The 16,436-nt window shown below is 47.8% G+C and overlaps 1 protein-coding gene and 1 non-coding gene across 8 annotated transcripts in view, besides 2 other annotated features; one reads left to right on the top strand and one right to left on the bottom strand.

The window, feature by feature from the left end:
* Window positions 1-9,049, top strand: part of IQGAP3 (IQ motif containing GTPase activating protein 3) — a 47,161-nt gene extending 38,112 nt beyond the window's left edge. For all 7 annotated transcript variants that reach the window (XM_047445996.1, NM_178229.5, XM_047445990.1 and 4 more), the window contains 9 exons: window positions 313-445; window positions 579-681; window positions 1,348-1,474; window positions 3,207-3,294; window positions 4,137-4,349; window positions 5,372-5,538; window positions 5,844-5,945; window positions 6,394-6,502; window positions 7,855-9,049. In XM_047445996.1, coding sequence (XP_047301952.1) covers window positions 313-445; window positions 579-681; window positions 1,348-1,474; window positions 3,207-3,294; window positions 4,137-4,349; window positions 5,372-5,538; window positions 5,844-5,945; window positions 6,394-6,502; window positions 7,855-7,968 — 1,156 coding nt within the window. In that variant the 3' untranslated portion in view covers window positions 7,969-9,049. The remainder of the gene's footprint in view (window positions 1-312; window positions 446-578; window positions 682-1,347; window positions 1,475-3,206; window positions 3,295-4,136; window positions 4,350-5,371; window positions 5,539-5,843; window positions 5,946-6,393; window positions 6,503-7,854) is intronic.
* On the bottom strand, window positions 5,025-5,124 carry LOC124904843 (small nucleolar RNA U13). Its single transcript, XR_007067438.1, has one exon. It is a non-coding gene; the product is annotated as a small nucleolar RNA U13 (small nucleolar RNA).
* Window positions 7,840-8,411: an enhancer, noted in NCBI's record as "OCT4-H3K4me1 hESC enhancer chr1:156495835-156496406 (GRCh37/hg19 assembly coordinates)". NCBI's record gives its function as "activates a minimal SCP1, AML or CMV promoter by ChIP-STARR-seq in naive and primed H9 embryonic stem cells {active_cell/tissue: H9 hESC(naive and primed)}" and the evidence as "EXISTENCE:reporter gene assay evidence [ECO:0000049][PMID:30033119]".
* Window positions 9,521-9,620: a silencer, noted in NCBI's record as "silent region_1430". NCBI's record gives its function as "represses an Ori minimal core promoter by ATAC-STARR-seq in GM12878 lymphoblastoid cells {active_cell/tissue: GM12878}" and the evidence as "EXISTENCE:reporter gene assay evidence [ECO:0000049][PMID:35858748]".

Here is a 16,436-nt window from a genome sequence, read left to right as displayed (position 1 = left end):
TTTGACATCCCACTTGTCCCCTCCAGAATCCATGAGGACAAGAGGCATAAATAGAAGGGATGAGCATAATGAGCGGGGTGGAGGATAGGTTGTTGGAAGGACTCCCCAGTGGAGAGAAAAGGAGACTATTAAGAGAGATTGTCTTGAGGGGTCACTGGGACAGAGGTAGGGCAGGACAGAGGGCAGAAGCTGAGACTGGAGAGTCCAAATTGGCCTGAGCAATCACTGGAGAAGGCTGGGGAAATGATGGGGACAGAAGATGTGTGGGGTGCTGGCCCTCCCCGCTCTCTCACATGCCCGCCCTCTGGACAGGAAGTTCATCCATAGAGCCTGCCAGGTGCCAGAGCCAGAGGAGCGTTTTGCAGTGGACGAGTACTCAGACATGGTGGCTGTGGCCAAACCCATGGTGTACATCACCGTGGGGGAGCTGGTCAACACGCACAGGGTGAGGGGCTGAGATCTGGAGGGTGTTGGCTGGGTGGGCAAGGGTTTGGTAGCCTGTGATGGGGTAGTGGGCTGGCCCCAGAGGGAAGACCTGGCTCAGACCCTGCATCTCCTTTTCTTTCTCCGTCCTGCAGCTGTTGCTGGAGCACCAGGACTGCATTGCCCCTGATCACCAAGACCCCCTGCATGAGCTCCTGGAGGATCTTGGGGAGCTGCCCACCATCCCTGACCTTATTGGTACGTGCCCTCCTTAGCAGCTGAGGCCAGCTAGGGGACCTGCATGGAGGGAGGGACAGGCAGGCAGGCAGGGCATGTGAGCGTGCCCATGCAGCCTAGGTCTTGTGCCAGGCGGCTAGTTCCATACTCTCCCTCTGGTCCTGACATGGGCACAGGGACACAGATTGATGTGGAGAAGGTAGACAGACAGTAGAGGGACCCACGATCATCATGGAAAACGGTCAATGAAATGATCTGAAAGAGGCACAGGGATCAGGGCCTCATTAGGTTTCTCTGAGAAGGAGGGGTTTCCGGGCCATGGAATAGGAGGAAGCCAACTTACTGGGAGGAAGGACAGAATGAAGATGGTGATTGGAGAGAACCAGGAGCTGCAGGCTCAGGGAGGCACAGCTCCTCTACCCTCAGGGCACCCAGGGCTGAGGGTGTGGGGGTGGCACAGCCCCAGTAACACAAGGGTATGCTCTGTGGGTAACAGCCCTTCCATCGGTGCTAAGGGTTGGGGACACAGGGTAGTTCTGCAGGCCAGTGTGGGAAAACTTCCTGGAAGAGGGGCATGTGGAGCAGCTGATTTAATGTGACCCCATCGGTGCATGTGTGTGTGTGTATGTGTGTGTGCGCATGTGTGTGTGTATGCCTGTCTCCCTCTCATTCCTCACCACACCTCAGGTGAGAGCATCGCTGCAGATGGGCACACGGACCTGAGCAAGCTAGAAGTGTCCCTGACGCTGACCAACAAGTTTGAAGGACTAGAGGCAGATGCTGATGACTCCAACACCCGTAGCCTGCTTCTGAGGTGGGTGATGCCAGCCTCTGCCCCTGCATACCTGAGCTCCCCAGCCCTGAGGCCAGTAAAATGGCCTTATTCTGAGGCGCCCATTCCACCTTCTTCCTGGGCTCCCTTATCCTTCAGGAAGTTCTCCCTGAAGCCTACCTTTATTCCCCTCGCTGCAGCCTTGGCTCTTTTCCATCTGGTATCCTCAGCTTTTTGCTCTGTGTTGTACTGAAAGTAAAGGAATGGTGAAGATATTGGCAACAGCAGGTGTTTGCATATCGTGCTGTTTACCAAATGCTTTTTTCTTTTTTTTCAAGTAGAGACAGAGTCTCGCCATGTTGCCCAAGCTGGCCTCAAACTCCTGGCCTCAAAGCCATCCACCTGGCTCAGCCTCCCAAAGTGCTAGGATTACAGGATTGACCCACTGCGCCTGGCCCAAATGCTTTTTTAATAAGTTATCGTTTATTCTTAGAAACAAGCTATGAGGTAGATGGTGGCTTCCCCTCTTCATAGTTGAGGAAAGACTCAGTAGTTATGTGATTTATCCAAAGTTCCACAGCCAGTGGGTTGTAGAGCTCATGTTCTAATTCCACTTTTTTTTTTTTTTTTTTTTTGAGATGGAGTCTCATTCTGTCATCCAGGCTGGAGTGCAGTGACACGAACTCAGTTCACTGCAACCTCCGCCTTCTGGGTTCAAGCGATTCTCCTGCCTCAGCCTCCTGAGTAGCTGGGACTACAGGTGCTCGCCATCATGTCCGGCCAATTTTTGTATTTTTAGTAGAGATGGGGTTTCACCATGTTGGCCAGCCTGATTTTGAACTCCTGACCTCAAGTGATCTGCCTGCCTTGGCCTCCCAAAGTGCTGGGATTACAGGCGTGAGCCACTGCGCCCAGCCTAATTCCGCATTCTTGTTGAGTGTGATGGTCAGGAGATGGGCATGGAGCTCTTCTTCCCCAGTTCTACAAAAGTGAGGGAGGACTCCCAGTAGGGGTGAGCTGGTCATCTGGGCAGAAGAGGAGCCAAAGTGCCAGCTCAAGCTCCTGCCAACAAGGCAACCCCTTGCACCCACTCATTCACTCAATAAACAAGTGAGCTGGCCAGGTGCGGTGGCTCATGTCTGTAATCTCAGCACTTTGGGAGGCCGAGGCAGGTGGATCACCTGAGGTCAGGAGTTCGAGACCAGCCTGGCCAACATGGTGAAACCCCATCTCTACTGAAAATACACAAATTAGCTGGGTGTGGTGGCAGGCACCTGTAATCCCAGCTACTTGAGAGGCTGAGGCAGGAGAATCACTTGAACCTGGGAGGCAGAGGTTGCAGTGAGCCGAGATCATGCCATTGCACTCCAGCCTGGGTGACAGGAGTGAAACTCTATCTCAAAAAAAAAAAAAAAAAACAAGTGAGCTGAGTATCATCTTTGTCCTGCCATCAAAGGGCTGAGAGCAGGATCGGGCTAGGGCTGAACACAGAGCACCACCAAGAGGGTGGTGGGTGTCAGATGCATTGAGAGCTAAGGAGAAGGGATGGCTGGGTGGGAAGGACATGTGTGCTCAGCTGAAGGACTCAAAGGCAGATAGTTTGTTGGGAAGGTATTCCAGGCAACGACATCCCCTATCCCTCGCTCTCTCTCCTTATATCCTAGCAGCCATGCTATAGAGCACGGTCCACTTACTCTCAGACCTCTGGCCAGTCCCATGTCCAGGCCCTTCCCCTGCCCCTTACCTCTCCTCTGTCACTGTCCTCCTTGTGCAGCACCAAGCAGCTGTTGGCCGATATCATACAGTTCCATCCTGGGGACACCCTCAAGGAGATCCTGTCCCTCTCGGCTTCCAGAGAGCAAGTGAGTAGCCGGGCTGGCCCACAGGTTCTGTCTCATTCATCCCCCACCTCATCCCACCTGCACCGCTGCTGTTTCCCTCCTCTGAACCTCACCCACATCAGCCAGAAGCAGACACCTGTGCTCACCAGTAATGAGAACTCTGGAGGCCTACAGGATGAGGGATACAGCTTTAGCCTTGGGAAGCCTCGGGCTACAGAGTCATGGGGCCCCACCCCTCTCCCCACTTCACACACTGAAACAAGCACCAACACTAGGGCTATGGGGGGCACTGAGAGACCGTCTGGGAATGCTCCCCTGGAAGGCCTGCACTCAGAAGAGTGGTCTGCTAGAATGCCTGGAGGCAGGAGAAGGTAGTAGGCAGGTGGGGGGCCAGGGGCAGGTTGGGCCCGCTGGAGTGAAGACTGAACCAGGGTCTTCCCAAAGAAAAGGTGGGGATGGCCAGTAGAGGTATGTCCCAAAACAGAACAGACAGGTAAATGCCCCCAAACATCCTGTGCCGTCAGAAAGATCCATTGTTGGGAAGTCACAGCTAGTGTCTGTCCGGAATCCTTTATGCCATGGCCTGGGTTTGGTTCTCCTTTGGGCCACTCTTCCCCTGTGGTGATCTATGAGGCCCTCCCATGTGTGACACCATGCATTATGGTGTTATACCTTGATATTCTTCATAAGCGATGCCCTGCCCCAGCCATATCCTGCAGAGGCTGGGCTCTGGGGCACTTTCTTAATGATATGCAGAAAAATGCTCAGGCCTCCCTTTGTTGCTGGTGCCCATGGGACCTTCACTGGTGTGGGAGCAGAATGGTAGGACCTGGTAGACCCCTCCAGCGTCTGTGTGTCCCCAGGAAGCAGCCCACAAGCAGCTGATGAGCCGACGCCAGGCCTGTACAGCCCAGACACCGGAGCCACTGCGACGACACCGCTCACTGACAGCTCACTCCCTCCTGCCACTGGCAGAGAAGCAGCGGCGCGTCCTGCGGAACCTACGCCGACTTGAAGCCCTGGGGTTGGTCAGCGCCAGAAATGGCTACCAGGGGCTAGTGGACGAGCTGGCCAAGGTAACAACCTGGGCCTGGGCTCCGTGTGCCTGTGTGTACGTGTGTGTGTGTGCGTGCATATACATGTTAATCCATAGTGTTGGTGGGCCCCTCCTGATGAGTCCTCACCCAAAATTGTCACCAGCCAGAGGAAGGCTGAGGGTCCTTTTTGAAGGAAAGATTTTTTTTTCTTTTTTTTTTTTTTTTTTGAGACAGTCTCACTCTCATCCAGGCTGGAGAGCAGTGGTGTGATCCTGGCTCACTGCAACCTTCACCTCCTGGGTTCAAGTGATTCTCCTGCCTCAGCCTCCCAAGTAGCTGGGATTACAGGTGCGCGCTGCCATGCCCGGCTAATTTTTGTATTTTTAGTAGAGACACGGTTTCAGGCCATGTTGGCCTGGCTGGTTTCGAACTCCTGACCTCAGGGTCCGCCCATCTTGGCCTCCCAAAATGCTGGGATTACAGGTGTGAGCCACTGCACCCAGCCAAATTTTTGTATTTTTAGTAGAGACAGGGTTTCACCATGTTGGCCAGGCTGGTCTCAAACTCCTGACCTCAAGTAATCTGCCCACCTTAGGCTCTCACAAAGTGCTGGGATTACAGGTGTGAATCACCACTCCTAGCCTGAAGGAAAGATCTTGAAATTAGTTAGAGAGGAAGGTGTTCTTGCAACTCTCTTTTTTTTTTTCTTCCCCACATTAGCTGGGTAATGTGCCCAGGTCAGAAGGTTTGAGAGAAGCATATCTCACACAAGAGCATGAAAACCCAATCCTCAGCTTATGACCTACAAAAGTATCCTTGCAACTTTCTTTTACTAAAAAACAAACAGCCTTGAAACCAGTTAGTCCTCAACGGGCAGAGGCCCTGAGGACATGCCTTGAGGATTTGGAATACCATCCTTGAGATTTTCCTTCTAGGAAAACAGCCTTGAAGCCTGTTCTTCCGAAGAGCCTCACAGTGTGTAGCTCTTGGGCCTGTGTCAGGCCCTAAGGCTCTCCTGCCAGGAAGGACCACTCATCCCTCCATCTGTTCCCCAACCCCAGGACATCCGCAACCAGCACAGACACAGGCACAGGCGGAAGGCAGAGCTGGTGAAGCTGCAGGCCACATTACAGGGCCTGAGCACTAAGACCACCTTCTATGAGGAGCAGGGTGACTACTACAGCCAGTACATCCGGGCCTGCCTGGACCACCTGGCCCCCGACTCCAAGTAGGTGCTGCTTTCCCGTACTTGGAAGGTTACGAGTGACTTCTCACCCCTGCCCATGTCACCTTTGCCCTGCTATCTCCCAGCTTTGAAAGGGGAATCTCACCCAGCACAGCACAGTCCCTTCCTAAGTCTGGTCTTTGAGCCTCATTTACAAAGTCTTGGGCTCAAGTGCAGCCCCCCTCCTCTGTCTTCCATCAGTGAGAAGTCTTCCTCGGGGTCTCATTTCCTTTCCAGCCACAGAAAACAAGTTTCTTTGGTGGTAAAGTGTTTATTGGATGAATTCTCTGGGGCCTTCTTTTAATCAGGAGTTCTGGGAAGGGGAAGAAGCAGCCTTCTCTTCATTACACTGCTGCTCAGCTCCTGGAAAAGGGTGTCTTGGTGGAAATTGAAGATCTTCCCGCCTCTCAGTATGTGTCTTTGGAGGGCAGGATGTCAGCCCCTTCCTGTCCTCTAACCTGGGGGTGGAGCTCTGGGCTGGGCACCGGGTGGAAGAGAAGAAGCATGGTCCCGATCTTGAAGGAGCTGCTAGAATGATGGTGGAGACAGAGCATGCCCAGACAGAAAGTGAAGGGCTGTGGACATGGTCTAGCACAGTTCTAGATGCCCTGAGGCAGAGGGTACTGGGAAAGCTTTCCAGAGGTGAGAACAGCTGCGTAGGGCGGGGCAGATAAAGAGATGGTGTGGGGAGCAGAAGTAAAATGGAGAAGACAGCGAGCTGGGCCCTCTGGGAGTGACAGAGGGAAAACTGGTTCTGGATGACACCGCTGCCCAGGATGAGGAGCAGTGGGTGCAAGAATGTGGCTGTAGCCCTGGAAAGAGGCAGTGGGTTCCTGTTTTGAATCCTGTTCCTGACAGCTTCAGAAACGTCATCTTTGACATCACGCCGGGAGATGAGGCAGGAAAGTTTGAAGTAAATGCCAAGTTCCTGGGTGTGGACATGGAGCGATTTCAGCTTCACTATCAGGTGAGGGGACAGTCCCATGAGCCTGCAGGACATCTGCTGGGCTTTAGGTGCTGGCCTGAAGAGAGCAGCTGGCCTCACTTTCCTAGTCCTCAGATGACACCAGCTCAGTTTTTCACCCAATCAGTATCGTCTGTTCCTGAAGAGAAGGGTGGGGGTCTGTGCAGCCCAAGCCCCCCTTTCCCCATGCCCTGACACAGACCCCACTGGCAAGCATCAGGGAGAGTGGAGTGGGCTACTGGTGTCAGAAGCAGGATTAATATTTGAAGCCCTATCACATGTCAGGGACTTTACATGTTACCTCCTTTAATCCTCTCCACAGCTCTGAAGTATTATCCCTATTTTACAGGCTCTAGGCTAAAAGGTTAAGAAGCTGGCTAAGTCATAGGCCAGTGTTCAGGAAAGGAGTGAAGCAACGGTGTTTTTGGTTGTGGTTGTTGTTGTTGCTTTTTTGGGTTTTTGTTTGTTTGTTTTCTTGAGACGGAGCCTTACTCCGTCACCCAGGCTGGAGTGCAATGGCGCAATCTCAGCTCACTGCAACCTCTGCCTCCTGGGTTCAAGCGATTCTCCTGCCTCAGCTTCCTGAGTAGCTGGGATTACAGGCGTGCGCCACCACACCGGCTTTTTGTGTATTTTTAGTAGAGATGGGGTTTCACCATGTTGGTCAGGCTGGTCTTGAACTGCTGACCTTGTGATCCGCCCGCCTCAGCCTCCCAAAATGCTGGGATTTACAGGCATGAGTCACCATGCCCAGCCGAGCAGTAGTTTTTAATCCAAATCTTTTTGCTCTGATGTTTTACCTTTTGAGTAAGAAAAATGATTTTGGCCGGGTGCAGTGGCTCACGCCTGTAATCCCAGCACTTTGGGAGGCCGAGGCGGGCGGATCACGAGGTCAGCAGTTCAAGACCAGCCTGGCCAATATAGTGAAACCCTGTCTCTACTAAAAATACAAAAATTAGCCTGGCGTGGTGGCACCTGCCTGTAATCCCAGCTACTCAGGAGGCTGAAGCAGGAAAATCGCTTGAACCTGGGAGGCGGAGATTGCAGCGATCCGAGATCGCGCCACTGCACTGTAGCCTGGGAGACCGAGTGAGACTCCGTCTCAAAAAAATAAATAAATAAAATAAGAAAAACAATTTCAAGCCCTGGTTCTGCTTGAGTTGACATTTGATCAAGTCACTGTACCTCTCTTGCCTCAGTTTCCTCATTTGTGAAGTGGGATTTCAATGCCCTACTTCAGTGGCCAGTGCCACTGGTGACTGCAGAAGGCCCCATGATGTGAGTGTTTTGTACACCATCTGACTGGACCACATTCAGAAGCCCTTAAACTCCCCTCCCTGCCTCTTCCCTCCTAGGATCTCCTGCAGCTCCAGTATGAGGGTGTGGCTGTCATGAAACTCTTCAACAAGGCCAAAGTCAATGTCAACCTTCTCATCTTCCTCCTCAACAAGAAGTTTTTGCGGAAGTGACAGAGGCAAAGGGTGCTACCCAAGCCCCTCTTACCTCTCTGGATGCTTTCTTTAACACTAACTCACCACTGTGCTTCCCTGCAGACACCTAGAGCTCAGGACTGGGCAAGGCCCAGGGATTCTCACCCCTTCCCCAGCTGGGAGGAGCTTGCCTGCCTGGCCACAGACAGTGTATCTTCTAATTGGCTAAAGTGGGCCTTGCCCAGAGTCCAGCTGTGTGGCTTTTATCATGCATGACAAACCCCTGGCTTTCCTGCCAGATGGTAGGACATGGACCTTGACCTGGGAAAGCCATTACTCTTGTGTCTGCTACTGCCCTCCCACAGTCACCCCAATATTACAAGCACTGCCCCAGCGGCTTGATTTCCCCTCTGCCTTCCTTCTCTCTGCACTCCCACAAAGCCAGGGCCAGGCTCCCCATCCCTACCTCCCACTGCATCAGCAGTGGGTGTTCCTGCCCTTCCTGAGTCTAGGCAGCTCTGCTGCTGTGATCTGCACACCCTCCAACCTGGGCAGGGACTGGGGGGATGCAGTGTGTGTTAGTGCCCATGTGGCATTGTGGCACTGTTGCCCCCCATGGCGGCATGGGCAAGATGACCTTCCATTAGCTTCAAGTCTTGTTCTCTTGTCTGTGGTCTGTTTAATATGTGGGTCACTAGGGTATTTATTCTTTCTCCCATCCTTACACTCTGGATCATTGTGCAGACTTAATCAGGGTTTTAACGCTTTCATTTTTTTTTTTTTTTTTTTTTTTTTGAGCTCAAAGAGAGTTCTCATTTTCCCTATTCAAACTAATACCCATGCCGTGTTTTTTACCTTGGATTTAAAGTCACCTTAGGTTGGGGCAACAGATTCTCACTCATGTTTAAGATCTTGTTATTTCAGCTTCATAAGATCAAAGAGGAGTCTTTCCCTTTTCTCTTTTACCCTCAGGATTCTCATCCCTTACAGCTGACTCTTCCAGGCAATTTCCATAGATCTGCAGTCCTGCCTCTGCCACAGTCTCTCTGTTGTCCCCACATCTACCCAACTTCCTGTACTGTTGCCCTTCTGATGTTAATAAAAGCAGCTGTTACTCCCACATCTGTTGTTAACCCTTATTTCATTTTCTGTAGAGCCGGCCTTTAAGTTCTGGAACACAGCTCCCTGAGAGAACTGGGGAATCCTTCCTGCAGCCTCCCCCAGCCCTCTGCCTGCCTCCGGTGTGGTCCTACTCTGCCTGCCTGAGATCGTAAAAGCTTAATGAGATGTGGCATTTATTCTCTCTTCCTTCCCCCGGGGGACAGAGAGGAGGAAGGAATGCTTAGGTTTCTATTCTGTTTTTATCGGCCACTCTGAAGACTAAAGCTGAGAAGAGAAGCCACTCTAATTTCTACCCCACCCGTTTTACACACAGTTCCTGCAGGTTCTTTTCCTGAGCCTTGGGTGGTGATATCAAAGGTGCTTAAGCCATAACTCCTTAGGTATTGTAGATTCTACACTCTGATCAAAATCTCCTTTCTGAAGGGAAAGCTCCCTCCTTTCCTCCTTGCTTTCAGAAAGTAGGGAGGGAAGTCTGTTGGGGAGGGGACAGTAGAGACAGACACCTGCCCTGACATCTGAACTCCCAGGCAGCTCCTGTTGGGGACACACCTTTGCCTGGTGCAGTCTGCCTCCCTCCACTCCGTTCCATTCTGTCACTCAGGATCTGTCTTGCTGTCACATCCAATCTCAGTCACAGCCTCTCCCCCCCCTTAACATGTCACAGCAAAGACTTCAAGTACTGCCTTGCTCTGGGTGACAGTGACATTTACCAGTAGATCCAAGTTTCTACATGTGATCAGCCATCATTAAAAATCTCATACTCACCAAATGGCTGCAATGCTCCCCCACAATCACATGATCTCAGCCACATATACCACATATAGAAATGTCACAATAGCTACCGTTACTGAGAGTCTGTCGTGGGCTGGGATATTTACATACATTTACTCCTCACAACAACCCTACAAAGGTTGTTGTGGTCTTCATCTTGGTTTAACATGATGAAACTGAGGTTCCGAGTTGGATCTGATAACTACCCAAGGCTATTCAGCTGGAAAGGAGCAGAACAGGGCTTTAAACTCAGGCCCACCAGATATACATTCCCCAGCATTTTTTCTCTTCTCTGAGAAACATTTTTACTTCCTTCAACCTCCCCTTTTGTGACACTCTCAAGCTCCCCCAACACTCCACTCTGCTGTGGGTCCCTGATAAGCTTGAGCTCATTAGTGTCCTTGCTAACCTTCAATGCCCAATCTGAGATACAGTTTCTTAGCTCCTATGAATGGGACTATATGCCAGTGTAACCTCTTTGGAGGACAATTTGGAAATATAAAAAATATAAGTGCTTCTTAGACAAGGTGGCATGAAAAAAATTAAGTGCAGGGTACCAGGATAATTCAACAGAAAGTAGTCTTTTCAACAAATGGTGTCAGGACAACTGGAAATCCACATGTAAAAGGAGGAAGTCGTACCCCTACCCCACACCAGATACAAAAATAAACTCAAAATGAACCACAGACCTAACTGTAGGAGATAAAACTATAAAACTCTTTAAAAAAGGCCAGACATGGTGGCTCACACCTGTAATCCCAGCACTTTGTGTGGCCAAGATGGGAGGATTGCTTGAGTCCAGGGAGTTCAAGACCATCCTGGGCAACATAGTGAGACTCCCATCTCTAAAAAATATATGTATTTTAAGCCAGGCGTGGTGCCTCATGCCTGTAATCCCAGCACTTTCGGAGGCCTAGGTGGGTGGATCACCTGAGGTCGGGAGTTCAAGACCAGCCTGACCAACATGGAGAAACCCCGTCTCTACTAAAAATACAAAAATTAGCTAGGCGTGGTGGTGTGTGCCTGTAATCCCAGCTACTTGGGAGGCTAAGGCAGGAGAATCACTTGAACCCGGAGGTGGAGGTTGCAGTGAGCCAAGATCACACCACTGCAATCCAGCCTGGGTGACAGAGCAAGACTCCATCTCAAAAAATAAAATAAAAATAAAACAAAAAAAAATTAAAAAACCCGCAGAGTGGGAGAAAATATTTGCTAATCATATATGTAATAAGGGATTTATATCCAGACTATATAAAGAACTCATCACAATAGAAAGACAACCTAATTAAGAAATAGGCAAAGGATTTGAATTCACATTTCTCCCAAAAGAACATATACAAATGGCCTTTCTTCTTTTGAAACGAAGTCTCACCCTGTCACCCACACTGGAGTGCAGTGGCGTGATCATGGCTCACTGAAGCCTTGATCTCCCCAGGCTTAGGTGATCTCCCGCCTCAGCCTCCCAAATAGCTAGGACTACAGGCATTCGCCACCATTCCCAGCTAATTTTTGTGTTTTTTGTAGAGACAAAGTATTCGCCATGCTGCCCAGGCTGGTCTTGAACTCCTGGGCTCAAGTGATCTGCTCTCATTGGCCTCCCAAAGTGCTGGGATTACAGGCCAGGGTCACTGGGCCTGGCCATCACTAGCCATTAGAGAAATGCAAATCAAAATCACTATGAGATCCCATTTTACTCCCATTAGGATGGCTAAAATAAAGCAGACACAATGATCAGTGTTGGTGAGGATGTGGAGAAATAACTCTCATACATTGCTGGAAGGGTTAAAATAGTGGAGCCACTTTGATAAACAATTTGGCCACTCCTCAAAATGTTAAACATAGAGTTATCATGTGACCTAACAATTCCTCTCCTAGGTATATATCCAACAAAATTGAAAGCATATGTCCACCCAGATATCTGCACATGGATATCTATAGCAGCACTCTTCATAATAGCCAAAAAATGGAAGCAATCCAAATGTCCATCAACTGATGAGTAGATAAACAAAAGTAGTATCTCCATACAATGGAATATTATTCACCTATCAGAAGGAATGAAATAGTGACACATGCTACAACATGGATGAACTTGAAAATGTGCTGCTAAGTGAAAGAAGCCAGACACAAAATGCCACATACTGTATACTTTTATTTATGTGAAATGTCCAGAATAGTCAGATCCATAGGAACAGAAAGTAGATCAGTGATTGCAAAGGCCCGGGAAAAGGGGAGAACAGAGAGTGACTGCTAATGGGTATGGGCTTTCTTTCAGGGGTGACAAAAATGTTCTGTAATTAGTGGTGATAGCTGCACAATGCTGAGTATAATAAAATATCACACAATTATATACTTTAAAAAGGTGAATTGTATGGTCTGTGAATTATATTTCAATAAAGCTTGTTTTTCTTAGTATAAGTGCACATACCCAGCAAGGACTTTTTCCTGTGGATATACCTGGATATGTGGGCAAAGAGCTCTGGAGGATTTGTTGCAGTATTGTTCGTATTGGCAATAAACTCAGTAGGGTAGTCACACAATGGAACATTAAGCAGCCAATAAAAATTATCAGCTGGAAGCTGGGTATGGTGGATCACGCTTGTATTCCCAGCAGTTGGGAGGCCAAGGACAGAGGATCACTTGAACCCAGGAATTCAAGACCAGCCTGGGAAGGCCAGGTGTGGTGGCTTACGCCTGTAATCTCAGCACTTTGGGAGGCTGAGGCGGCCAGATCACCTGAGGTCAGGAGTTCAAGACTAGGCTGGCCAACATGGTGAAACCCTGTCTCTACTAAAAATACAAAAAATTAGCCAGGTGTGATGGCACGTGCCTGTGATCCCAGCTACTCGGGAGGTTGAGGCAGGAGAATCGCTTGAACCTGTGAGGCGGAGGTTGCTGTGAGCTGAGGTTGCGCCACTGCACTCCAGCCTGGACAACAGGCAAAAAAAAAAAAAAAAAAAAGCCAGGCGTGGTGGCTCACGCCTGTAATCCCAGCGCTTTGGGAGGCTGAGGCGGGTGGATCACCTGAGGTCGGGAGTTCAAGACCAGTCTGACCAACATGGAGAAACCCCATCTCTGCTAAAAATACAAAATTAGCCGGGCATGGTGGCACATGCCTGTAATCCCAGCTACTCAGGAGGCTGAGGCAGGAGAATCGCTTGAACCCAGGAGGCAGAGGTTGCGGTGAGCTGAGATCACGCCATTGCACTCCAGCCTGGGTGAAAAGAGCGAAACTCTGTCTCAAAAATAATTAATTAATTAATTAAATTTAAAAAAAAAAGACCAGCCTGGGCAGCACAGTGAGACCCTGTCTCTTAAAAAAAAAAATGAGGTGGATCTGTGTGTGCCAATGTAGAAAGCTGTCATTTTGGACTGATACACAAGAAGCTTGGCAGTGGTCACCTTTGGAGAGTAGAGATGAGAAGAAGGCTCTTCTTGTACTATTATTACGATAAGCTTATATTGCTCTTTTTTTTTTTTAATTTAGAGATGGGATCTCCCTCTGTTGCCCAGATGTGAGCAACATGACAGAGTGGCATGCTGCTTCTGCTAGAGCAGTGCTTCTAAAAGTGGGCTCCACAAGCTGTTACTGGTCCACAACTAGATAAATGCAATAATTGAGAGCAAACATTTAGAAGCTTACAGGAACTGCCAGTAATTTTTCATCTGAATGTAATAATTTTAAAAATTGAGGCTTGTATTTAATAGGTCTTTTTTATTTCAGTTTTCTAGTAACTAGTATTTCTTGCACTTCACAAAAGTATCAGTCCATAAAAGATTGGAAATTTTTAAAAATGCATCCTTCACTACAGACAGTTTGAGAACTGTTCTAGAGGGCATACTTTAATAATGTGATATAAGAATGCATTATCTCTGTTGAATCAAACTAGAGAGACTTATATAGCATTATAATTTGTCAATTTACAATAAAAAATAAAGAGACGAGTTGAGAGTAGCTGAGATCATATTGTATATGCAATTTTAGATTCTGCTTTATTCACTTAGCCATGAAAAATATTTTCCTTTGTCTTTAAAATTTCTTCAAAAATATTATTAATGCCTATAATATAGCCCATATGTATTTAACATTCCTACAATGTTGAATTGTTTTCCATTTTCACTAGTATAAGTAATTATGTAATGGATATCTTTGTAGACAAAATATTTGTTACATCTTTTTCTTTCTTTTTGTTAGACAGGGTCTCACTCTGTTGCCTGGGCTGGAGGGAGTAACACCATCACGGCTCACTGCCACCTCCAATTCCTGGCCTCAAGGGATCTTCCCACCTCAGCCTACCAAGTAGCTGGGACTACAGGCGTGTACCACTATGCCCAGCTTATGTTTTATTTTTTGTAAAGACAGGGTATTCACCATGTTTCCTAGGCTGGTCTCAAACTCCTGGACTTAAGTGATCCTCCCGCCTCAGCCTCCCAAAATGCTGGGATTACAGGCGTGAGCCACTGCACTGGGTCCTTTGTTACATTTCTAATTAACTCCTTAGAATAGAATACTAGAACAGAAGGTAGTTCAAAGAGTATACACTTTTTTAAAAGTTATAGGTTTTTTCCTGACTATAATACATATTTTTTGTGGGAAATTTAGAAAATATAAAAAAACAAAAAAGGTGAAAATAATTCATGATACCATAACAAGTGGTGACCACTTGTAACATTTTGATATATTTTCTTCCAATAATATTTGTAATTAGAGCCACACTATGTATCTTCTCTTGTAACCTGCTTTTTCCACGTATCATTATAAACATTCTCCCATATTAAATGGGATATAACATAATCTACTTAATCCATCCACTATAAAATAACTAGATTGTTTAAGTTTTAGTATATAAATTAATGCTGTATTGCCTGGGCGTGGTGGCTCACGCCTGTAATTCCAGAACTTTGGGAGGCCGAGGCAGGCAGATCACTTGAGGCCAGGAGTTTGAGACCAGCCTGGCCAACATGGTGAAACCCCGTTTCTACTAAAACTACAAAAATTACCTGTGCCCAGTGACGTGCACCTGTAATCCCAGCTACTAGGAAGGCTGAGGCAGGAGAATTGCTTGAACCTGGGAGGTGGAGGTTGCAGTGAGCCAATATCACGCCACTGCACTCCAGTCTGGGGACCGAGCGAGACTCCATCTCAAAATTAAAAAAATAAAAAATAAAACAAAATAATGCTGTATTGGACTACATGTCTAGATGAGAAGATGCTTGGGGCACTTTATAAAGGATCTTTTTACATGTGGCCTAATGTCTACAGAAAATCTGTACCAATTCACAGAAAGAAAGAAGGGACAGAAAGTGAGAGAAAATGGTCTACACTGCTGGGGCCAGTAGTCCAGGGTCAGAAAGAAGCCCAGACTGACTTTGCTGCAAATCAACACAAATCTGTCTCTGCTGGGGCTTATGAAACCTCTCAGTTGCCTTTCTACTAGTGTAGGTAAGAGGGCCCCTTTCTCTGCAAGAAACATGGACATTTAAAAAATATGTGCTGTCAAATACAATTTGGTAACCTGAACTGGATCCTGGCACAGAAGAAAAAGGGACATTAATAGAAAACTGGTGAAATTAAATAAATTCTAGAGTTTATTTAACAGTAATATGTTCATAGTGGTTTCTTAGTTTGAGAAATGTACCACAGTAATGTAAGATGTTAACCTTAGGGTAAACTCAGTATGGGGTACACAGGAACTCACTGTACTATCTTTGCAACTTTTCCATAAATCTAAAATTAGTACAAAATTTAAAGTTTTGTTTAAAAAATGTATTGCGCCAATGTAGAGTCCCACTAAAAGTGTGTGGAAGTGTTAGTGTAACCACACCCTTGGTAGCAGCAAATATTTTTTTAAAAATTTAATCCTTCAACAAATATTTATTAAGTGCCCTCTGTGTGCCAGACACTGCCCTAGGTACTTGGGCATCATTGAACAAAGCAGACATAGATCAATGACCTAGTGGAGCTGACGTTGCAGCAGAGAAAGACAGATATTTTAGTATGTTAGAAGAAATAAGTGCCTTGTGGCTGGGCACAGTGTCTCACACCAGTAATCCCAGCACTTTGGGAAGCCAAGGTAGACAGATCACTTAAGGTCAGGAGTTTGAGACCAGCCAGGTCAACACGGTGAAACCCCGTCTCTACTAAAAATACAAAAATTATCTGGGCATGGTAGTGCGCTCCTGTAATTCCAGCCACTCCAGAGGCTGAGGCAGGAGGATCACTTGAACCTGGGAGGCGGAGGTTGCTGTGAGCCAAGATCACGCCACTACACTCCCACCTGGGTGACAGAGCAAGACTCTGTCTCAAAAAAAAAAAAGTAATAAGTGCCTAGGAAAAAGGAAAAACAGGGTAAGGGACTTCAAGGGTGGAGGAGAGGAGTGAGGGATGGGTTGCAATTTTAAATAGGGTGATCAGGAGAGGCTTCCTTGAGAAGACAACTCAGCAATGACTTGAAGAAGCTAAAAGGTGAGCTATGTGTGAATGCCTGGAGACAAGGTCTAAAAAGTAAGCTGGAAGGACAGATCTGACATAACCTTGTAGGCTGTAACAAGGTGTGGCAGATACCATCAAACACTCACCAATAACTCCATTTACTCTGCTACATTTCCCAATCTCC

This window comes from Homo sapiens, chromosome 1 (genome assembly GCF_000001405.40).
Source record: "Homo sapiens chromosome 1, GRCh38.p14 Primary Assembly".
In the NCBI taxonomy this organism is placed as follows: Eukaryota; Metazoa; Chordata; class Mammalia; order Primates; family Hominidae; genus Homo; species Homo sapiens.
The sequence above is the reverse complement of the archived record's forward strand: the minus strand, read 5'-3'. Positions and strand labels throughout refer to the sequence as shown.